General features: G+C 44.5%; 1 protein-coding gene, 1 long non-coding RNA gene and 2 pseudogenes across 7 annotated transcripts in view, besides 5 other annotated features; 2 read left to right on the top strand and 2 right to left on the bottom strand.

Annotated features, from left to right (window-relative positions):
• HEATR3 (HEAT repeat containing 3) overlaps positions 1–397 on the bottom strand; it is a 41,303-nt gene extending 40,906 nt beyond the window's left edge. For all 6 annotated transcript variants that reach the window (NR_138092.2, NR_138093.2, NM_001329729.2 and 3 more), the window contains exon 1: positions 98–397. Coding sequence is in view for 1 of the 6 variants with exons in the window: in NM_182922.4 (NP_891552.1) it covers positions 98–235 (138 nt within the window). In the remaining 5 variants the exon portion in view is untranslated. The remainder of the gene's footprint in view (positions 1–97) is intronic.
• Positions 15–64: a silencer, noted in NCBI's record as "silent region_7468". NCBI's record gives its function as "represses an Ori minimal core promoter by ATAC-STARR-seq in GM12878 lymphoblastoid cells {active_cell/tissue: GM12878}" and the evidence as "EXISTENCE:reporter gene assay evidence [ECO:0000049][PMID:35858748]".
• On the top strand, positions 43–22,527 carry HEATR3-AS1 (HEATR3 antisense RNA 1). Its single transcript, NR_186390.1, has 3 exons — positions 43–314; positions 1,560–1,676; positions 19,730–22,527. It is a non-coding gene; the product is annotated as an HEATR3 antisense RNA 1 (long non-coding RNA).
• Positions 295–589: an enhancer, noted in NCBI's record as "tiled region #4020; HepG2 Activating DNase unmatched - State 1:Tss, and K562 Activating DNase matched - State 1:Tss". NCBI's record gives its function as "activates a minimal TATA promoter and a strong SV40 promoter by Sharpr-MPRA in HepG2 and K562 cells {active_cell/tissue: HepG2 | K562}" and the evidence as "EXISTENCE:reporter gene assay evidence [ECO:0000049][PMID:27701403]".
• Positions 395–444: a silencer, noted in NCBI's record as "silent region_7467". NCBI's record gives its function as "represses an Ori minimal core promoter by ATAC-STARR-seq in GM12878 lymphoblastoid cells {active_cell/tissue: GM12878}" and the evidence as "EXISTENCE:reporter gene assay evidence [ECO:0000049][PMID:35858748]".
• Positions 5,517–5,692: a silencer, noted in NCBI's record as "fragment chr16:50094586-50094761 (GRCh37/hg19 assembly coordinates)". NCBI's record gives its function as "represses an EF-1alpha promoter that drives an FKBP-Casp9 reporter gene in an ReSE screen in HepG2 liver carcinoma cells and phorbol 12-myristate 13-acetate-treated (for megakaryocytic differentiation) K562 erythroleukemia cells {active_cell/tissue: HepG2 | K562(+PMA)}" and the evidence as "EXISTENCE:reporter gene assay evidence [ECO:0000049][PMID:32094911]".
• Positions 7,066–8,411, top strand: ACTG1P16 (actin gamma 1 pseudogene 16; annotated as a pseudogene).
• LOC100130602 (regulation of nuclear pre-mRNA domain containing 1A pseudogene) lies at positions 18,505–19,909 on the bottom strand (annotated as a pseudogene).
• Positions 19,299–19,799: an enhancer, noted in NCBI's record as "H3K4me1 hESC enhancer chr16:50080479-50080979 (GRCh37/hg19 assembly coordinates)". NCBI's record gives its function as "activates a minimal SCP1, AML or CMV promoter by ChIP-STARR-seq in primed H9 embryonic stem cells {active_cell/tissue: H9 hESC(primed)}" and the evidence as "EXISTENCE:reporter gene assay evidence [ECO:0000049][PMID:30033119]".
• Positions 22,528–23,287: the final 760 nt, after the last annotated feature.

Here is a 23,287-nt window from a genome sequence, read left to right as displayed (position 1 = left end):
CTGCGGATGAGAGCGAAAAGGGTCAGAAGGCGCGCAATGCGCACGCGCGCGGGGCAACCTCGTCTCGCCTCCCGGCCCGACGGAGCCCTCGCCTCACCTTTTCCAGCAGCTCCGCCGCCGGCCCGTCGTCCTCCTCGCCTCCGGTCCCATTCGCCGCCGCAGCCGCCTCGGCCTGACAGTCGCCCGTAGGGGAGAACTGAGGTCGCTTGAAGCGCTTCGTCCGGCTCTTGCCCATGGTGACGTGCGCTGGGCGGACAGACCACCGAGAGAGGAGGGCAACAGCAGGCGGTGGAGGCTGCCGCGCCGTTAACAAGGTCCGTTGCTGCTGCTCAGCTGGGCCGGCTGACGGCTGCAGCACACATGGGCAAGCCGTGCGCAGGCGCACGGCGCGTCGTCTGCCGGGTCGGGGTTGGGGCGGGGCGGGGTGGGGGGAACTGGCGCACGGAGCGCGCAGGCGTGGAAGAGGGCATAGGCGGGGCCAGCTTCGGCAAAGGGGCGGAGCCTTGTGGGTTTACCGGGTAAGTAGGAGGTTGGACTAGAATAGTAACGCCGACCCGGGCGAGAGGATCACTTGAGGCCAGAAGTTCGAGACCATCTTGGGCAACATAGGAAAACACTCCACTCCCTGTCCTCCCCACCAAAAAAATTAAAAATTATCTGGGCATAGTGGCGTGTGTGTGTAGTCCCAGCTACTTGGGACGTTGAAGCCGGAGGATCACTTGACCCCAGGAGTTTGAGGCTGAGGTGAGCCGTGATCCTGCTACTGCACTCCATCCTGGGCGACAGAGCGAGACCCTGTCTCAATCAATCAATCAAGCAACCAATAAGTTAGTAACACCGGCTACAAATAATCAAATGTGATTAAGAATACCTAACTTGCAAGGTTATTGTAAGTTCTGTAAAGTTCATAAAGTTCTGTAAAGTGCCTAACACCAAGCCTGATATATAGCAGGTACTCAAAAAGCATTAACCACGATTTTATTTTGTGTCCCCAGCACCTCCCATAGCTCCTGTCGTAGACAGAGACTAGTTAATGTTTTGGAACGAATGTGTGTCTATATTTGATAAAACAGAATCGCTTAAGAACCTAATCTCCCTGCCTTAGTTTCCTCATCAGTGAAGTGGGGACATCGATAGTATATACCTCATGGAGTTGTTACGAAGACTAAATGTGTTCATATGTTTAAGGTGCTAAGAACAGAGACTGGCAGATACTAAGCACTATGTAAATGTTTGGAAACGTATTTAACAAAGAGATTCTTTTGCAGATATTTGTTGAGTACTAGGTACAGTGCTGGGCATTGGAATAAAGCAGTAATCAAGACAGTTTGGTTCCTGTCCTCTCTCCCTGTCCTTATGGAATTTACAGTCCAGGGAGAGATCTGTTGAATATATAATTATATGAATAACTTTGGTTATAATTGTGGTAAATACTAAGCAGAGGGAAAAGTACAGGAGAATCTTAGGTGGTCTTTATAATTAGACATGTAACGAGTGAGTACTCAATATATGCATAGCTTTGGGTCAATTTTCTTTTTTTCTTTTTGTTTTTGAAACAGAGTCTCACTCTGCTGTCCAGGCTGGAGTGCAATGGTGCGATCTCGGCTTATTGTAACCTCTGCCTTGGAGTTCAAGCAGTCCTCCTGCCTTAGCCTCCTAAGTAGCTGAGATTACAGGTATGTGCCACCATGCCCAGCTATTTTTTTTTTATTATTATTTTTAGGAGAGACGGGGTTTTACCACGTTGGTCAGGCTGGTCTCGAACTCTTGATCTCAAATGATCTGCCTGCCTCAGCCTCCCAAAGTGCTAGTATTACAGGTATGAGCCACCACGCCCAGGCTCAGGTCAACATTCTACTGGAGAAAATTTCCATTCCATGGTAACCCTACTGTCAAAGAGTTGACTGTCCAGTAAGGGAAATTAATTACTATGGCAAATTTTAGAGAGTAACAGAAGTGTAGCTCATGTTGCATTTGGGCCTATCAAAGATCAATCTTGGGCTGGGCACTGTGGCTCACACCTGTAATCCCACCACTTTGGGAAGCCAAGGTGAGCAGATCACCTGAGGTCTGGAGTTCAAGACCAGCCTGGCCAACATAGCGAAACCCCATCTCTACTAAAAATACAAAAATTAGCCAGGCATGGTGGCATGTGCCTGTAGTCCCAGCTACTTGGAGGCTGAGCCAGGAGAATCTCTTGAACCTGGGAGGCAAAGGTTGCAGTGAGCCGAGATCACGCCACTGCACTCCAGCTTGGGTGACAGAGCGAGACTCCGTCTCAAAAAAAAAAAAAAAAAAAAAATCAACCTTGGAGCCACTAAATATATGTTGGTGGGTTTTACTTCCTGTATATTTTATCAGGCCATCGATCTGCCTGCCACCCACCTAGTCCAGGCAACCGTCTTTTTGTTGTTGTTTTTTTTGAGATGGAGTCTCTTTCTCGTTGCTCAGGCTGGAGTGCAATGGCATGATCTCGGCTCACTGAAACCTCTGCCTCTTGGGTTCAAGTGATTTTCCTGCCTCAGCCTCCTGAGTAGCTGGGATTACAGGTGCATGCCACCACGCCCAGCTAAATTGTATTTTTAGTAGAGATGGGGTTTCACCATGTTGGCCAGGCTAGTCTCGAACTCCTAACCTCAGGTGATCCACCAGTCTCGGCTTCCCAAAGTGCTGGGATTACAGGCGTTATCTACCACGCCTGGCCTAGGCTACTGTCTTTTATCTTGAGCACGTGGCTCTCTGGTCTCTCCATTTCCACCCTGCCTGTCCCCCATCCATTGAGCAGCTAGAGTGATCTCAAAATATCCCTCCACCTTTCTCCTTATATTGTATTCACTTCCTCGCTTAAAACTTTTCAGTGGCTGCCGGGCATGGTGACTCACGCCTGTAATCCCAGCACTTTGGGAGGCTGAGGCGGGTAGATCACTGAGGTCATGAGTTCAAGACCGGCCTGGCCAACATGGTGAAACCATGTATGTACTAAAAATACAAAAATTAGCTGGGTGTGGTGGCACGTACCTGTAATCCCAGCTACTCAGGAGGCTGAGGCAGGAGAATCACTTGAACCCAGGAGGCAGAGGTTGCAGTGAGCCCAGATCACACCACTGGTCTCCAGCCTGGGTGACAAAGCAAGACTCCGTCTCAGAAGAAAAAACCAAAGAAAACAAAAAACTTTTCAGTGGCTTCCCTTTCTCTTTGGATAAAGATCAAAATCTTACCAGGGCTGCAGGGTTTCACCCCGGCCCCCAGCCTCACCTCTTCATTTTGCTCTTTTAGCCAACATCTATGGGGCCTCAGGGGTTTGCACAAACCCCAGCCCCTACCCTATGAACTAGTGAACACAGTCTTCATAGGCAGAGACAGGGACTTCGTAGTGAGAGACAGGTCTCCCTTGAGACAGCATGTACCTCGTTTCTTTGCTTCAAAGCACATATCAAAATTACAGTCGTAATTTTCAATTTCTTTGTGAACGGTTATACAATTGCCTTTCTCCCCAGCTGAACACTAGCACCTATAAAGACAAGACAGTGCCCATTTTCACACATCACAGTATCCCCAACACTAGCCCAGAGCCTGGCACAAGATAGTCATGCAATTTCTTGAATGAATGGAGTGACCACGTAGGAAAGAATAGGGCATTAAATCTAGATGGAATAAGATGACGAGAATTTAGATGAGATAGAAACAGATTCCTCCTGTTTCTCTCACTGTGAGGATGAGCAAGAAAAAAGTGGTTCAAAACTCAGGCTGGGCGCGGGGGCTCATGCCTGTAATCCCAGCACTTTGGGAGGCTGAGGCGGGCAGATCACCTGAGGTCAGGAGTTCCAGACCAGCCTGGCCAGCATGGTGAAACCCCGTCTCTACAAAAAATACAAAAATTAGCCAAGCATGGTGGTACATGCCTGTAGTCCCAGCTACTCAGGAGGCTGAGGCAAGAGAACCACTTGAACCTGGGAGGTGGAGGTTGCAGTGAGCTGAGATCATGCCACTGCACTGCAACCTGGGCGACAGAACGAGACTCCGTCTCAAAAACAAACAAACAAAAAAAACCTTAACTAGATGAGCACAGAGGACTTTTAGGGCAGTGAAAATACTTTAGATGATATAATGGTGGATATATGTCATTGTACATTTTTCCAAACGTCTAGAATGTATAACACCTAGAGCAAACCCTAATGTAAACTACGGATTTGGGGTGATAATGGCATGTCAGTGTAGGTTCATGGTTGTAACAAATGCATCATGGTGGAAGATGTTATCATGGGAGAGGCTGTGCATATGTGGGGGCTGGGAGTATGTGGGAAATCTCTGTACTTTCCTCTTTTTGCCGTGAACCTGAAACTGCTTTAAAAAATAAAGTCTTCGGCCAGGTTCACTGGCTCAAACCTGTAATCCCAGCACTTTGGGAGGCCATGGCGGCTGGATCACTTGAGCCCAGGATTTCAAGACCAGCGTGGGCAACATAATGCGACCCCATCTCTACAAAAAATTAAAAAATTAGCTGGGTGCGGTGGTGTGTGCCTGTAGTCCCAGCTACTTGGGAGGCTGAGGTGGGAGAATCACTTGAGCATGGGAGGTGGAGGCTTCAGTGAGCCGAGATCACACCACTGCGCTCCAGCCTGGGTGACAGAGTGAGACCCTGTCTCAAAAAATAAAACTAAATTCTTAAAAAATATAAATACGTATAAATACCATAGCTAGAGCAGAACTTTGTGGTCTGTTATCATTAGTTACTCTTTCCAGTGATAAATTACCATTGCTGCTAAAATGAGTAATTAGCTTTATTTAATGAGCTTAAGAGCCCTTCTGGGAGCCACCCTCAGTCAATTGTCAGTCTTGGAAGGAGCCCAGTGATCTTTAACCAGTCTAATCTTCCTTCACCAGTCATTTTTTAAAATGCAGTGAAGTAGTGATTATCTAACCATCCCTTTTTCCTGCAAATTATCTTTGTCAAGAGGGAATTTTTGAATTAGACTGCTTAGAAGCCTCTTCCCTTGAGACAAGTTGGAAATAAGCTTGTCATCAATTATTGGTCTGACAAATTAAAAAAAAAAAAAGGAGTTAGGCTGGGTGCAGTGGCTCACCTGTATTCTCAGAACTTTGGGAGGCCAAGGTGGGAGGATCACCTGACTTCAGGAGTTTGAGACCAGCCTGGGCAACATCAAGAGACCATATCTCTACAGAAAGTTTAGAAATTAGCCAAGCACAGTGGTGTTTGCCTGTAGTCCCAGCTACTTAGGAGACTAAGGTGGGAAGATCGCTTGAGCCCAGGAGTTTGAGACTGCAGTGAGCTATGATTGCACCACTACACTCCAGCCTGGGCCATAAAGTGAGACCCTATCTGAAAGGAAAAAAAAAAGAAAAAAAAAAGAGCTGCTCTGCCGGACTCCTGTTCCTCCCACTTCGAATTTTTATAATGTAATCTTCCTACAACACACTCAGATCAGTTTTTTCTAGAACATTTAGACAGTCCCATGGTCTTATACAGTCAGGTTCAGCCTTTTACATAACATACACAATGTGGCCACAGCACTCTGCCATGTCCCTCCAACACCACATCTCCAGCCCTGGGAGCCTCCTCAGTCTTCCCAGAAACTCTGTGGGACTTTGCTTTCCTTAGGCCTGGACTACCATCGAGCTGGGCAAGCTTCCATAACTCACAATGGCGTTAATCATCGCCATTCTAGTACAGTCTCTGATCCACTTACAGTTCCTGTGAGCTTTAGGGACTCATTGTGGGAAGAATGAGAAATATAAACCCAAAAGATGGTCAACCCCTGGGGCCTGGCCTACTGTCCTCCATTTCCTGCTGCCCCAGCAGATGCTGCACCCTTGGGCCAGCCGTGTACTTTATGTGCCCTGTACCTCTCTCAGAATTGTTCATGAAGCCAGGTGTGGTGGTGCACGCCTGTAGTCCCAGGTTCTCAGCAGGCTGAGGCAGGAAAATCACTTGAACCCAGAAGTTGGAGGCTACAGCGAGCTAGGATCATACCACTGCACTGCAGCCTGGGTGACAGACCCTGTCCCAAACAAGAAAAAAGTAATTGTCCATGAGTTGTCATCAAAGGTATACGTGTGAGGCCAGGCACGGTGGCTCATGCCTGTATTCCCAGCACTTTGGGAAGCCAAGGTGGGCGGATCGCTTGAGCCCAGGAGTTCAAGACCAGCCTGGACATTGTGGCAAATCCCGTCTCTACAAAAAATACAACAAATTAGCCAGGCATTGTGGCACAAGCCTGTGGTCCCAGCTACTCCAGAGGCTGAAGTGGGAGGATCACTTGAGCCCAGGAGTTTAAGGCTGCAGAGAGCTGTGATTGTACCACTGCGCTCCAGCCTGGGTGATGGAGTGAGACCCTGTTTCAAAAAACAAAAAATGTATACATGTGAGCTGCCCACACTAGCCTCTGAATTAGCAGTGCCTGGCACTTCGCTGAATTAATGTCCCTGGTGTGTCCACTCCCTCCTCGTGGTTACTGTCCTCTGTCTCAGCTGGCCCTACATAGAGTGACTCAGTAGTCACCAACAAGGAATGTCACTGCTGGTAAAGTCATCTGCAAGATGATTAGACACTGGGTCTCTAGTTCCAGTTCTGCCACTAACAAGCTGTCTGAACAAGGGAAGTTTTCTTTATTTACATAGACTTGGTAAGGGTTTTTGAACTATTAGAGGCCTGGGAACCATTTTGATGATTTCAAGAAAGGAAGGAAAATCGCCGGTTGGGTGCCTCCTGAGCAGGTGTCAGAGCCTGGGATAGGCACTGTTGCTGGTCATCCCCCACTTGGTCCTCAGAACTTGCTGAGATAGGTGTGACAATTGCATAACTGCTGACAGCCAACCCAAGGAAGTCACTGCAAAGGGACCTGCTACCCACCGAATTTCACCCCATTCATTCATTCACTTAGCAGATATTTATAATTGAGTGCTTGCCAGGTATCAGTCCCTGCAGCAGGTGCTAGGGATAATGAGAGAACCAAGCTCCAGTCCATGATGTCATGGTGTTTACAGTCTACCTAGCCTTGCAGCTCTATGCTGCCTTTAACAAAGGTCTTGTAGAAGAAATTATTACTCACTCGCTGCCACTAGCCCACACACCACGTCCTCCCGCTGCTCAGCCACCCACTTCTCCACGATGGCGATGGAAGAAGAGATCATCGTGCTCATCATTGACAATGGCTCTGGCAGGTGCAAAGCTGGCTTTGCTAGGGACGATGCCCCCTGAACCATGTTCCCCTCCATTGTCGGGTGCCCCGGGCACCAGCTCATGATGGTGGGCATGGATGGGCCAGAAGGACTCCTATGTGGGCGACGAGGCCCAGAGCAAGTACGGCATCCTGACCCTGAAATATCCCATCGAGCAGGGCATGGTCACGAACCGGGATGACATGGAGAAGATCTGGCACCACACCTTCTACAACAAACTGCGTGTGGCCCAGAGGAGCACCCAGTGCTGCTGACTGAGGCCCCCCTGAACCCCAAGACTAGCAGAGAGAAGATAACTTGGATCATGTCTAAGACCTTCAACACCCTGGCCATGTGTGTGGCCATCCATGCCGTGCTGTCCCTCTAGTGCTCTGGGCACACCAGTGGCATTGTCACAGACTCTGGAGATGGGGTCGCCCACACGGTGCCCATCTCCCCTAACCAACTACCTCATGAAGATCCTCACCGAGTGTGGCTACAGCTTCACCTGTAGCTTCACCCCACGGCCGAGTGGGAGATCGTGCGTGACATCAAGGAGAAGCTGTGCTACGTTACCCCGGACATCAAGCGGGAGCTGGCCACCGCCGTGTTCTCGTCCCTGGAGAAGAGCTATGAGCCACCCGACGGCCAGGTCATCACCATCTGCAGCCAGTGGGTCTGGTGTCCAGAGGCAACTTTCCAGCTTTCTTTCCTGGGCATGGAACCCCCGGCATCCACAAGACCACCTTCAGTTCCATCGTAAAGTGTGACGTGGACATCCACAAATACCTGTAGGCCAAGATGATGCTGTCCTGCGGCACCACCGTGTACCTGGACATCACGGGCAGGATGCAGGAGATCACCACTCTGGCGCCCAGCACCATGAAGATCACAATCATCGAGTCCCCTGAGCACAAGTACATGGTGTGGATTGGCGGCTCCATCCTGGCCTCCCTGTCTACCTTCCAGCAGATGTGGATTAGCAAGCAGGAGTACGAGGAGTCAGCCCCCTCCATCATCCACCGCAAATGCTTCTAAATGGACTGCGAGCAGATGCCTAGCATTTGTGGCGTGGATTAATTCAGAAGAATAAATTTGCCCCTGGCAAATGCATACACCCCATGCTAGCCTCATGAAACTGGAATAAGCCTTCAAAAAGAAATTCGTCCTTGAAGCTTGTATCTGATATCAGCACTGGATTGTAGAACTTGTTGCTGATTTTGACCTCATATGCAAGTTAACTGTTCCCTTGGTATTTGTTAAGTATTCTGTACATATCTTGGATCTCAACCCTTAGTACATGTGGCTTGGTCACTTTGTGGCTGAGGTAAGAACGTGCTTGTGGAAGACAAGTCCATGGCTTGGTGGGTCTGCGTGGCCAGCAGTCTCCCACGAGTGCAGGGTGTTAATGTGTTAGGGCTGAGTGTTCTGGGATTTCTCTAGAGGCTGGCAAGGGCTCCTGAACCAGTTGTTTCTGTTCTGCTGGTCTGTCAGGGTTGGAAAGTCCAAGCCATAGGACCCAGTTTCCTTTCTTAGCTGATGTTTTCCTGCCGGAATACCATGGCTGTTACTTGCCTTGAGTTGGAAGTGGTTTGCATTTACACCTGTAAATGTATTCATCCCTTTAATTTACGTAAGGTTTGTGTGTGTGTGTGTGTGTGTGTGTGTGTGTGTGTATGCAATTCTCAATTCTTTAAGAGATGACAACAAATTTTGGTTTCTTACAGTTATGTGAGAACATTAGGCCCCAACAACACGAGTGCGTAAGGAAAAATAAAAGTGCTGATGAAAAAGAAAAAAAGAAAAATTATCCAAAACTTGGAAATAAGCAAAAAGGATAGCTGCACATTTTTTCTGTTTCTTTTCTTTATATATGTTTTTTAAATCTTTTTTTGAGACAGGGTCTTGCTCTCTTGCCCAGGCTGGAATGCAGTGGTGTGGTCTTGGCTCACTGCAACTTTCACCTCCTGGGCTCTAGCCATCCTCCCACCTCAGCCTTCCGAGTAGCTAGGACTACAGGTGCCCACCACCATGCCCAGCTGATTTTTTTTTTTTTTTGTAGAGATGGGGTTTCACCATGTTGCCTAGACTGGTCTCGAACTCCTGAGTTCAACTGATCTGCATGCCTCAGCCTCCCAAAGTCCTGGGATTAAAGGCATGAGCCACTGCACCTGACCTGCATATTTTTTTCAATATTACATTGTCCCAATGTCTAACAGACCCATGAAATGATTATTTCTCTAAGGCAGTACCATCAAGCAGAGTTTTCCACAAAGAGGAAAATGTTCTCTGCCTGCCCTGCCCAGTAGAGTAGCTACTAGCCAAACATGGCTATTTTGTTGTTGTTGTTTTATTTTTTTATTTTCTTTTTTTTTGTAGAGATGAGGTCTCTCACCCTGTTGCCCAAGCTGGTCTTAAACTTTTGCCCTCATGCAATCCTCCTGACTTGACCTACCAAAGTGCTGAGATTACAGGAGTGAGCCACTGCACTTGGCCCACAATTGGCTACTGAACACTTGAAGTAAGGCTACTGCTAGGAACTAAATTTTCAATTTTGGTTAATTAAAAACATTTTTTGTTGTTGATGCCTGCCCAATTTTCCAACAAGCCAGATGTCCATAGAACTGAAGCTTGAGAAACGTACGTTTCTTCTGTGGGATGCCCCTGCTGCCTGTTGACCAACTCCTCTTCCTTGCTGCTCCTGTTATCCTCCCATGATGTGTAAACACCTACCTTTAGTCAGGGAGGAGGAATGGATTTGAGGTTTATTTCCGGTCTCTCCCAGTGATGTCACCTGAAGAAAGCTTTCTTCCCTGCAATACTTGTTGTCTCAGTGATTGGCTTTCTGTATATCAAGCCTAGGACCTAGACTGAACCCCTGGTGTTCATTAACATTATGACATTAAAAAGTAAATAAAAATAAAATAAAAATAAAAATAAATAGCTACACGTGACTAGATGCGATGCATTTGTAAAGTGCAACTCTAAAGCAGTGCGTCTGACCTGGGGGCAATTTTGCCTCCCTGTGGGACATTTGGCAATGTCTGGAGACATTTTGGTTGTCACAACTGTGGGGGTGCTACTAGCATCTAATAGGTAGAGGTGGGTACCACTGACAGTGTGGGCTGGATAATTCTCTGTTGTGGAGGTTGCCAGTCTGGGCTGGATAATTCTTTGTTGTGGAGGCTGTCCTGTGCATTGTACAATGTTTTAACAGCACCCCTGGCCTCTACCCACCAGATGCCACTAACACTCCCCAGTGGTGACAACCAAACATGTCTTTGGCCATTGCCAAATGTCCTCTGGGAGGCAAAATCACCTTTAGTTGAGAATCATTGCTCTAGAGAAATATATGTTTTTGTTTGACTGACCATTTACTTAGGGGCCTAGACTCTATGAAATTAGATGTGAATTTATATATGAATAAATTGCAAATGATTTTGATTTTGTCCAGTTGAGATGCAAATTATTTCTGTCCAGCAGAAAAGATAACCCCAAAGGATAGAATTTCGTTGCCCTGTAGAATATTAACCAGTTTCATATCTAACCTAGAAATCCCATTTAAATACATTTTTCCACACTGACTATATAAATTTCTGTTTCTCTGTTGAACCAGTTTTACCATCCTCCCAGTTCCTTCATTAAAGAACATGTACATGCTCACCCTATGTGTATACGAAGGTCAAAATTTTAACTTGAAAACCATCCTTTGATACTGTTTATCCATAAGGAAAGAAAGGTGTTCACCAGGCACTATGAAGTAAAAAGGCAGGTTACAAAGCAGCATAAATAGCATAATCACACTTTTGGAAACACACAAAACAGAGAAAAACTCATGGAAGTATATATACCTGGACCTTTCACATTTGTAAAAATGGAAAAAAAAAAAAACCGAAACAAAGCGTATGTACCAAAATGTTTCCTGTGTTTGCCTCTGGGCAGAATTAAAGGAGATATATATATATAGATATATATAGATATATATATAGATATAGATATAGATATATATAGATATAGATATAGATATAGATAGATATAGATATATATAGATAGATATAGAGATATATAGATAGATATATCTATATAGATATCTCTATATCTATCTATATATATCCATATATCTATATCTATATCTATATCTATATCTATATATATTTTTTTTCAGATGGAGTTTCGCTCTTGTTTCCCAGACTGGAGTGCTGGAGCGCAGCAGTGTGATCTCAGCTCACTGCAACCTCCGCCTCCCAGGTTCAAGTGATTGTCCTGCCTCAGCCCCCCGAGTAGCTGGGACTGCAGGCACGTGCCACCACGGCCAGCTACATTTTGTATTTTTAGAGACAGGGTTTCACCGTGTTGGCCAGGCTGGTCTCCAACTCCTGACCGCAGGTGATCCACCCACCTTGGCCTCCCAAAGTGTTGGGATTACAGGCGTGAGCCACCACGCTGGGCCAGATACTTTTTAAAAAGTCTGATTATTGCCCTGTTTGTATTTTCTGGGTTTTCCAAAATGATTGGGTAGTACTTACATAATTTTTTAAATTATGAAATTTTTTTAGAAGAAATACGATGCAATTCTGGCCTCCTCCACACAGTCCCCATCCTTTTCTATTTCCCACATGCCCACCTGTGACCCCCCAGTGGCTGCCTTTGGCTCTCAGAAGACTCATTTGGTATCTGGACACCAGGTTAGTTGCAGCACAAGTATTTCATGTAGTACAAAGATCTTACATTTGTAGAACTTTTTTTTTTTTTTTTTAAGAGACAGGGTCTCACTCTGTCACCCAGGCTGGAGTACAGTGCTGTGATCATAGCTCACTGCAGCCTTGAACTCCTGGGCTCAAGTAATCCCCTTGCTATAGGCCCACGCCACCACACTAGGACCATTTTTTTTTTTTTTTTGAGACAGGGTCTCACTCTGTTGACTAGGTTGGAGTGCAGTGGTGCAAACATGGCTCACTGCAGCCTTGACCTCCTGGGTTCAAGTGATCCTCCTGCTTCAGCCTCCCATGTAGCTAGGACCACAGGTGTGCGCCACCACGCCTGGCTAAGTTTTTGATTTTTTTGTAGAGACAGAATCTCTCTTTATTGCCCAGGCTGGTCTTGAACTCCTGGCCTGAAGCAATCCTCCTGCCTCAGACTCCCAAAATGACATTTGTAGAATTCTTTTTTTTTCTTTTTTTTTTTTTTGAGAAAGAGTCTCGCTCTGTTGCCCAAGCTGGAGTGCAGTGGCGCAATCTAGGCTCACTGCAACCTCCACCTCCCAGGTTCAAGCACTTCTCCTGCTTCAGCCTCCCATGTAGCTAGGATCACAGGTGTGCACCACCACACCTGGCTAAGTTTTTGATTTTTTTGTAGAGACAGGGTTTCACAATATTGACCAGGCTGGTCTCGAACTCCTGACCTTGTGATCCACCCGCCTCGGCCTCCCAAAGTGCTGGGATTACAGGCATAAGCCACTGCACCCAGCCAACATTTGTAGTATTCTTATAAAATTTTCCACTTTAAAAAAATTATGATTTTCTGCCAGGCACGGTGGCTCACGCCTGTAATCGTAGCACTTTGGGAGGCTGAGGCAGGTGGGTCACTTGAGGTCAGGAGTTCCAGACCAGCCTGGCCAGCATGGTGAAACCCCATCTCTACTAAAAATATATTTTAAAAAATTAGCCGGGTGTGGTGGTGGGCACCTGTAATTCCAGCTACTTGGGAGGCTGAGGCAGGAGGATCGCTTGAACCTGGGAGGCAGAGGTTGCAGTGAGCCAAGATCGAGCCATTTCACTCCAGCCTGGGCAACAAGAATGAAACCCTGTCTCAAAAAATTAATTAATTAATTAAATTAAAAATTATCATTTTCCAGGTAAACTCACTTAATATTGCAGTTTCTTTTCTTTGCTCCCAGGTGGGCAGCATTTCCTTTCTATTTGTAGTTTCTTGTTTCCTTTGCTCAGCAATCAATGACCCCACTCTCCGTCTAGGAACTTCTAGTCTCTGCTGAAGAGCTAGTACATTCCCATGTAGTTTTTAAAAAAATTGATACATAATAATTGTGCATATTTATGGGGTACATGTGATACTTTGATACATATAATCCGTACAATGTAATAATCAAATCGGGGTAATTAGCATATCCATCACCTCAAACATTCATCATTTCTTTGTGTTGGGAATATTTGAAATCTCTTCTAGCAATTTTTATTTGTTTTGTTTTAAATTTTGATTTTTTATATTGACAAGAAATAATTGTGTATATTCATGGGGTACATAGGGATGTTTCAATACATATAATGTATAGTGCTCAGAGCATGGTAATTAGCATGTTCATCATCTCAAACATTTATTATTTCTTTGCATTGGGAACGTTCAATATTCTCCTTGTAGCTATTTTGAAATGTACGATAAATTGTTGTTAATTACAGTTACCCTATTGTGATACTGGACACTAGAGCTTGTTTTTTCTATCTGACTATGTGTTTGCACCCATTAACCAAGCTCCCTCCCCTACTTCCTTCCAGCCCCTGGTAACCATCATTCTACTCTCCACTTCCATGAGAGCAACTTTTTTAGCTTCCACATGTGAATGAGAACATGCAATATTTGTCTTTGTGTGCCTGGCTTATCTCACTTAAAATAATGACCTCCAATTCCATCCACGTTGCTGTGATAGGATTTTATTCTTTTTTGTGGCTGAATAGTATTCCACTGTGTATATATACCACATTTTCTTTATCCACTCATTGGTTGATGAATACTTAGGTTGATTCTGTAACTTGGCTATTGTGAATAGTCCTGCAATAAACATGGCTGGAGCAGGTATACCTTTGATATGCTGATTTCCTTTCCTTTGGATAAATACACAGTGGTGAAATTGCTGGATTATACAGTAGTTCTATTTTCAGTTTTTTGAGGAAACTTCATGCTGTTTTCCATAATGGCTGTACTAATTTACATTCCCACCAAAATTATATAAGAGTTCCCTTTTCTCCACATCCTTGCCAGCATTTGTTATTTATTTATTTATTTATTGTCTTTTTGATAATAGCCATTCTAACTGGAGTGAGATGATAGTTCATTGTGGTTTTGATTTACATTTATCTGATGATTAGTGCTGTTAAGCATATTTGCATATACCTGTTGGCTATTTGTGTGTCTTCTTTTGAGATGTGCCTATTCATGTGGTCTTTACCCCTCCTTTTTTTTTTTTTTGAGATGGAGTCTCACTCTGTCACCCAGGCTGGAGTGCAGTGGCATGATCTTGGCTCACTGCAACCTCCACCTCCCAGGTTCAAGCAATTCTCCTGCCTCAGCCTCCAGAGTAGCTGGGACTAAAGGCACATGCCACCACGCCTGGCTAATTTTTTTGTGTTTTTAATAGAGATGGGGTTTCACCATGTTGGCCATGCTGGACTCAATCTCCTGACCTTGTGATCTGCCTGCCTCAGTCTCCCAAAGTGCTGGGATTACAGGTGTGAGCCACCACACCCAGCCTTTGCCACTTTTTAATGGGATTATTTGTTTTTTTGCTGTTGAGTTGCTTGAGTTCCTTGTATATTCTGGATATTAGTCCCTTGTATATTCTGGATATTAGTCCCTTGTTGGATGAATGGTTTGGAAATAATTTCTCATATTTTACAGGTTGTCTCTTTACTCTGTTGATTGTTTCCTTTTCTTCTTAGTTTAATATAGCCTCTTTTGTCTGTTTTTGTTTTTGTTGCCTGTGCTTTTGAAGTCTTAGGCATAAAATCTTTGCCTAGACCAATGTCCTGAAGCATTTTCCCTATGCTTTTTCTAGTAGTTTTATAGTTTCAGGTCTTGCATTTAAGCCTTTAATTCATTTTTAGTTGATTTTTTGTACGTGGTGAGAGAGGGGTCTAGATTCATTCTTCTGCATAGGGATATCTAGATTTCCCAGCACCGTTTATTGAGAGTGTCCTTTCACCAGTGTATGTTGTTGTCACCTTTGTCAAAAATCAGTTGGCTGTTTGTGGCGGAATTCACACAGAAAAAAAAATCAGTTGGCTGTAAATATGTGGATTTACTTCTGAATTCTCTATTCTGTTCAGTTGGTCTGTGTGTCTGTTTTTATGCCAATATCATGCTGTTTCGTTTATTATGGCCTCGTAGAATCTTTTGAAGTCAGATAGATGCCTCCAAACTTTGTTCTTTGTATATTGCTTTAGCTGCTTGCATTCCCATCTGGTTTTAATTATGTCAAGGCAAGCCCTGATTCCTCTAAAGGTTACTCTATTTTTGTACTTGTTTTATTTATTTTTAACTGATCAATGGGCTAATATCACTTCAGTTTTTAAATAAGTAACTATTAATATTAGTGATTATGTATTTTTGTTTTTGCATTATCTTCCATGCTACATCAAAATCAGGATTTATCAAATTTTCAGGTAACAATGGAGGTAAGAAATTTTTATTTATTTTTTCTTTTTAATTAATATTTTTGAGACAGGGTCTGACTCTGTTGCCCAGGCTGGAGTGCAAGGCATGATCTCAGCTCACTGCAGCTTCCACCTGCCAGACAGAAACCATTCTTCCACCTCAGCCCTCCTGAGTAGCTGGAACTACAGGTGGGCACCACCATGCCTGGCTAATTTTTGCATTTTTGGTAGAGACAGGGTGTTGCCATGTTGCTCAGGCTGGTCTCGAACTCCTGGGCTCAAGTGATCCTCCCAACTTGGCCTCCCAAAGTGCTGAGATTACAGGCGTGAACCACCACACCCAGCCTGGAAGTAAGGATTTTTTAAAAGTAACTGATGGAGTGACCGGGCGTGGTGGCTCATACCTGTAATCCCAGCACTTTGAGAGGCCAAGGTGGGTGGATCATTTGAGGTCAGGAGTTTGAGACTAGCCTGACCAACAAGGTGAAACTCCATCTCTACTAAAAATACAAAAAAATTAGCCGGGTGTGGTATTGAGCGCCTGTAATCCTAGCTACTTAGGAGGCTGAGGCAGGCGAGTCACTTGATGCCAGGAGGCAGAGGTTGCAGTGAGCTGAGATCCTGCCACTGCACTCCAGCCTGGGCAACAGAGTAAGACTCTATCTAAAAAAAAAAAAAAAAAAAAAAAAAGTAACAGATGGCTTGTTTTACGTATCTCAAATAAATAAATAAAATGTTTACAATTGATTACTTAGGGAATCTGTGTCAAATGTGATAAAACATGCAAAGTTAGGTAAACTCTAAAGAATCATGTCTGTTGATGCCACATTATACTTGCAAAAGAAATAGATAACCTTGGCTGGGCGCGGTGGCTCACATCTGTAATCCTAGCACTTTGGGAGGCCAAGGCAGTCCGATCACAGGGTCAGAAGTTGGAGACCAGTCTGGCCAACATAGTGAAACCTTGTCTTTTCTAAAAATACAAAAAATTAGCCAGGCGTGGTGGTGTGTACCTGTAATCCCAGCTACTCGGGAGGCTGAGGCAGGAGAATCACGTGAACCGGGGAGGCAGAGGTTGCAGTGAGCCAAGGTTGCGCCATTGCACTCCAGCCCGGGCAACAGTGTGAGACTCTGTCTCAAAAAAAAAAAAAAAAAAAAAAGGAGAAAAGGAAATAGGTAACCAGATAACCTCTCTATAAAACATTCAGACTTACAATTTTCATTTCACTTATTTAACCAATAGCAAAAGGGACAAAAATAAACCAATTGCTGATATAGCCTTTCAATTATTTATTTTGTACTAAGAGGTTAAAACTTTTTTCAAATAGAGAACTAATATTTAAAAAATTTTTTGGCCAGGTGTGGTGGCTCATGCCTGTAATCCCAGCACTTTTGGTGGCCAAGGTGGAAGGGTCATCTGAAGCCAAGAGTTTGAGAGCAGCCTGGGTTATATGACAAGACCCTGTATCTATGCAAAAAAAAAAAAAAAAAAAAAAAAGAGGCCAGTGTGGTGGCACATACTTGTTGTCCCAAGTACTCAGGAGGCTGAGGCAGGAGGATCATTTGAACCCAGGATTTCAAGGCTGCAGAGAGCTATGATTGTGCCACTGCACTCCAACCTGGGCAACAGAAATTCCATCTCTAAAAAATAAAAATAAAAATATGATAGTAAAAGGTTTTTTTTTTTTTTTACAAAGCTGATAGCTTTGCTTGAGCCAGATCAATTTTGTGTTGTAGAATATTTACATCTTTACCTTTGAAATCTATTACCTGCTTTGTTGGCTGTTTAGCCAAGATGAACACTGAAAAGCAAACAAACAAACAAAAACAAAAACCACCTAGGTTTCAACAACAACAAGTCACACCTACTTGGTAGGATTTATTTTTTATTTTTTTATTTTTTATTTTTTTGAGACAGTGTCTCCCTCTGTCACCCAGGCTAGGAGTGCAGTGGCATGATCTTGGCTCACTGCAACCTTTGTTTCCTGGGGTCAAGTGATTCTCTTGCCTCAGACTCCCAAGTAGCTGGGACTACAGGTGCGTGCTGCCATGACCGGCTAATGACCTCCATGTTTAATGTTACATGACCAATCTCTAGGGAATTATGGAATCAAAGGCATGGAGACAGAATCCATATTTTGTTTGGGGAAAAGAGGGATAATCTTTGTTCCAACATAAGATTATGTTGGGACATTTAGTCTCATCTACAATCCAGTCCTAACGATACCAAAATAGAGTCTCAACCAACTCTGATTGGTTCCTTCCCTTTAGGAATTACATAGTATACAGTGATTAGACACTGAAGAAAATAAAGAAAAACAATTGAAAATATATGAGGAAACAGAAACATGAGATTTCTCACAAGGCCCTGGATAAAAAAAAAATTACCAAAAGACCTTTTGAAAATAATCACTATTTGTGAGCTGATTAATACACAGAGATCATCTTTTTTTTTTTTTGGCAGAGTCTCGCTCTGTTGCCCAGGCTAGAGTGCAGTGGCTCATCTTGGCTCACTGCAACCTCCACCTCCTGGGTTCAAGAGATTCTCCTTCCTCAGCCTCTGAAGTAACTGGGACTACAGGTGTGTGCCACCATGCCCAGCAAATTTTTGTATTTTTAGTAGAGATGGTGTTTTGCCATGTTTCCCAGGCTGGTCTTTAACTCCTGGCCACAAGTGATCTGCCCACTTCGGCCTCTCAAAGTTCTGGGACTACAGGCCCAGCCCATCACTTTGTTTAAACGAAGTCATAGGTCAGGTGCATGCCACTGTACTCCAGCCTGGATGACACAACAAGACACTGTGTCAAAACCCCACCACCCCAAAACTAATTCATGTTAACTTATAAAGAAAATAGTAAACAAACCAACATTTCAAACATTTTTACTAATTGTCATTTATTTTGCTAGTGTTTCTCTCTCAAAAATATGCAAAAATACCACTACAGGACTATCCACCTGTCTCCACCTCTTGCAGTCTTGGGACCGGGAAAGAGGCTGGTCCATTAATCTTCACTGTAGATGTCCCTGCAAAGGGCAGGTGCATGCGGCTGCCAGTGACATTGGGTAGTCAAGATTAATCTGACAGGCTCTGGATCGGGGACCTGAATTCTTTGCACACCAGGGAAACTCTGGCTCACTTGCACTTGTATTCTTCCAATTTATGCTTTCTCTGCGAGGGCTTCCATTGGACAATGAAGAAAATCTGCTAACATTCGAGTGAGTTGCTTCCCCTCATCTATTTCTGCTGCCATTCTGCCATTGTAATCTGCTGGCAACATACATGCATCCATCATTTTAGAAAGCCTTTCTCCAGGTTCTTTATCTGCTATTTTATCTAGTAGAGATACTTCTTGGTCTACAGCAGGCAAAAAAGTGATCCTCTAGTGAACTCCTGCATCACCCAAGGCTGCATTTTCTAGATTTTGTAATGCTGTCACGAGATTTAGAGTCTGTGGTGGTGGCTCATTTGCAGATCCCAGAGAAGAACAGTTTTTATTTTCATTCATCTTTATCTGTTTATAAATTTGCTTCCTAGGCTTCTTATCACCACACAGAGCTTAAGTTGCTCTAATACATTGTTTCATTGTTTCTTGTTTGTTTGCTTGTTTGTGGTTTTTTTGAGACAGGGTCTTGCTCTGTCGCCCAGGCTGGAGTACAGTGGTGCGATCATGGCTCACTAAAGCCTCAACCTCCTGGGTGGAAGTGATCCTCCCACCTCAGCCTCCCGAGTAGCTGGGACCACTGGAGCACACCACCATGCCCAGCTGATTTTTTTTTTTTTTAGAGATGGAGTCTAGCTATGTTGCCCCGGCTGGTCTCAAATTTCTGAGCTTGAGTGATCCTCCCACTTTGGCCTCCCAAAGTGCTTAGATTATAGGCGTGAGCCACCACGCCTGGCCTCTAAATACATCATTTGCATAAACAGACCTTTCTTCCCAAATAGACAACACTCTTCCAATGTGCTTCTGTGCTTCTTACAACTCTCATCAGTTTCACTTGAAACATGCTTAAAAGCTTCCACTATAACCAGTGCAAATCTTTTGTAAGCTCCGGCCCCTTCCTTTTGCTTTGTATTTTAGTAGAGACAAGGTTTCACCATGTTGCCCAGGTGGTCTCACTGGCAAGGTAAGAAAAGTAAGCTTCCTGTTTGGCTTTGCTCTCTGCAGCTCCAGCTACCATGCGGTGACCACGGGCCCGGGTGCTTCTTGCTGTGATGAATGAGCCACAGGGACCAGGTCTGCATGCTCTGCTGCGCATTGCTTAACCCCGACAGCTCCTTCTCCAGCGCCGCCTCAGAGAAGACTGACATCCCTTCCACCCCACATTCACGCCGTCCCACACTGGGGTGACAGGAGGAGAGTTAAGTTGCCCTCTCGCAGCCTCGCCCGCTCAACTCACCCTTTCCACACCCTCACTACCACCCTGCTTGGTAGGATTTAATCCTAACACATATTACCCAAAATCCCATCTAACTCATCCGAACTTTGGAAAGTGACACACCTTAAGTGGTTGTGATTAAAACAGGCATTAACTTCTTTTGCTCCAGTGTGCTAAGAAACATTTGAAGGACATTCTTTTGGTTTTATTTGTTTGTTTGTTTGTTTGTTTTTGAGACAAGGTCTCACTCTGCCGCCCAGGCTGGAGAGCAGTGGCGCCATCATACTCACCATAGTCACCATAGCCTTGAACTCCTGTGCCCAAGTGATCCTTCCATCTCAGCCTCTTGAGTAGCTAGGACTACAGGCGCACACCACCATGCCTGGCTAATGTTTTTAAAAATTTTTTGTAGAGATGAGGTCTCTCTGTGCTGCCCAGGCTGGTCTCCAACTCCTGGTCTCAAGCGATCCTCCTGCCTCGGCCTCTCAAAGTGCTGGGATTACAGGCATGATCCACTGTTGAAGCTACATACATAGGCAGCTCATGACCCAGCAATTCCACTCCATGGCATTCCCAAGGGAAGTGATATATCCACACAGACTTGTACATGATTATTCATAGAACCTTTATGAATTATAGCCCCAAACTGAAAACAACCCAAATGCCCATCAATCCGTAAATGGATAAACAAAGAAAGGAACAAATTGCCAACATGCGTGTTAACATAGATAAAATCTCAAAAGCATGTTGACAAAAAAAAAAAATCAAAAGCCTGTTGAACAAAAGAAGCCAGAGACAGGATTATTGTACTGCATTATTATACTATGATGTCATTTGCATGAAAATCTAGAAAAGACAAATCTACAGTGATAGAAGCAGGACAGTATTTTCCCGAGGCCAGGAATTGGGGGTGGGACCTGGCAAAGGAAACGTTTAAGAGGATAACAATATTCTGCATCTTGCTCATGGTGATTGTTACACAGGTGCCACATTTACTAAAATTCACACTGTACAGCTTAAATGGATGCATTTTATTATATGTAAAGTTTTTTTTTTTTTTTTTTTTGAGACAGAGTCTCACTCTGTCACCCAGGCTGGAGTGCAGTGGCACGATCTCCGCTCATTGCAACCTCCACCTCCTGGGTTCAAGCGATTCTTTTGCCTCAGTCTCCTGAGTAGGTGGGATTACAGGCGTGTGCCACCATGCCCGGCTAATTTTTCTATTTTTAGTAGAGACGGGGTTTCACCATGTTGGTCAGGCTGGTCTCAAACTCCTGACCTCGTGATCGTGATCTGCCTGCCTCGGCCCCCCAAAGTGTTGGGATTACAGGTGTGAGCCACTGCGTCCAGCCTAAAGTTGATTTTTTTAAAGCCCACAGAACCTGTCTCTGTTTTGATTAGTTCCCCAGATTCGTTGTTTTTTTTTTTCGTTTTTGGTTTTTTTTCTTTTTTTGAGTTTCGCTCTTGTCACCCAGGCTGGAGTGCAATGGTGTGATCTCGGCTCACTGCAACCTCTGGCTCCTGGGTTCACGCAATTCTCCTGCCTCAGCCTCTGGAGTAGCTGAGATTACAGGCGTCCGCCACCACTCCAGGTTGAGTTTTGTATTTTTAGTCAAGACAGGGTTTCACCATGTTGGCCAGGCTGGTCTTGAATTCCTGACCTCAGGTGATTTGCCTGCCTCAGCCTCCCAAAGTGCTGAGATTACAGGCATGAGCCACGGCGCCCGGCATCCAGATTCGTTGTTAATTTTAATGGGTTGCACTCCCTGTTTGGAGAGTGAGCTTCCTGCTGATGGTCAATATGTATGTATGTATGTATGTATGTATGTATGTATATTTTTTTGACAGCAGGTCTCACTTTGTTGTCCACAGCTTGCTGCAGCTTCCTGGACTCAAGCAATCCTCCGGCCTCAGCCTCCTGAGTAGCTGGGACTACAGACATGCACCACCACACTCGGCTAATTTTTTTGTATTTTTTTGTAGAAATGGGGTCTCACCATGTTGCCCAGGCTGGTCTGGAACTCCTGGGCTCAAGTGATGATCCTGCCTTGGCCTCCCAAAATGCTGGGATTACAGGCGTGAGCCACCGCGCCCGGCCGGCCACTATTTATTGATCCCTCGATATGTGCCAAATGCTGCTCTAAGAGCTTTGCATATATTAAGCTACTAAATCTACCAACCATGCCACACAATGTCAACAGCTCCGTGTTAGAGATGGGAGAACTGAGGCACAGAGAGGGCAAGCCTCTTGCCTAAGAGCACAGCACGTGATTTTTGTAAGTGACAAACAGAATTTAACCTACATAGTCAGGCTCCAGAGTTTAGTTTGTAATAATTGCAATACACTGTCTCCTACTGAATTTGCTGATAGAGCTACTATCAGCTAGTAGCTACTATCAGATAGAGCTACTAAGAGCTAGTAAATTAAGGAAATCAAAGTTTTAATTAATAGATAACACCAGGTAAAAGGAGGAACATAGAAAAATGACTAAATATGAGAGCAGGGGAAGGGTTCCCAAATTGGGCAATATGCTTTCTATACCTGTTTCCCCACTTGTGAAATAAACTACTCCACCTAGCAAACTCACACTTAGGCACCTCACTGAGAAAAAAGTATTTCACGTGCATACATGATTTAAAAAGTTAAGGGCCAGGTGTGGTGCCTCATGCCTCTAATCACAGTACTTGGGGGGCAGAGGCAGGAGGACCGTTTGAATCCAGGAGTTGAAGACCATCCTGGGCAATATAACAAGACGCAGTCGAAGAGAAGAGGAAGAGAAGAGAAGAGAAGGAAAGAAATTCTGGAAGGAAGGAAGAAAGAAAAAAAAGAAGAAAAAGAAGGAAGAAAGAAAGGAAAGAAAGAAAGAAAAGAAAAGAAAGAAGAAAAAGAAGGAAGAAAGGAAAGAAAGAAAAGAAAAGAAAGAAGAAAAGAACAGAACAGCAGGTTCTTGCCTTCTCTAGAATCCCAAGCCCTCTATGGGAAGTAAACACTCCGACCCCTTCTGTTTCTCCTGTTATTATCTCTGTATTCCCAAATGATAAGCTATCACGCTTTCTGATTTATCAGTATCATATATTATCTTTTGATTTGCTGGCCTGATAGGTAAGGACTTAGCTCTCCAAAACTCTCTCCCACATTTCTCCTTTGCCCCACAAAATTGTACCGGAATTCTCTATTAAATCACTCTAAATTTCTAGGACAATGCAAATTTTGCTCACTGCTGAACTAAGAAGCCCACTAAACCACAATTCCTTTCTTTGTTCTTGGAATTAGTAATCGCCTTTTTTTTCTTATCCTGGTTTTCCATCAATTTGTCATTATTTTTCCCCTAATGTCCAACATCTTT

This window comes from Homo sapiens, chromosome 16 (assembly GCF_000001405.40).
Source record: "Homo sapiens chromosome 16, GRCh38.p14 Primary Assembly".
NCBI lineage: Eukaryota > Metazoa > Chordata > Mammalia > Primates > Hominidae > Homo > Homo sapiens.
The sequence above is the reverse complement of the archived record's forward strand: the minus strand, read 5'-3'. Positions and strand labels throughout refer to the sequence as shown.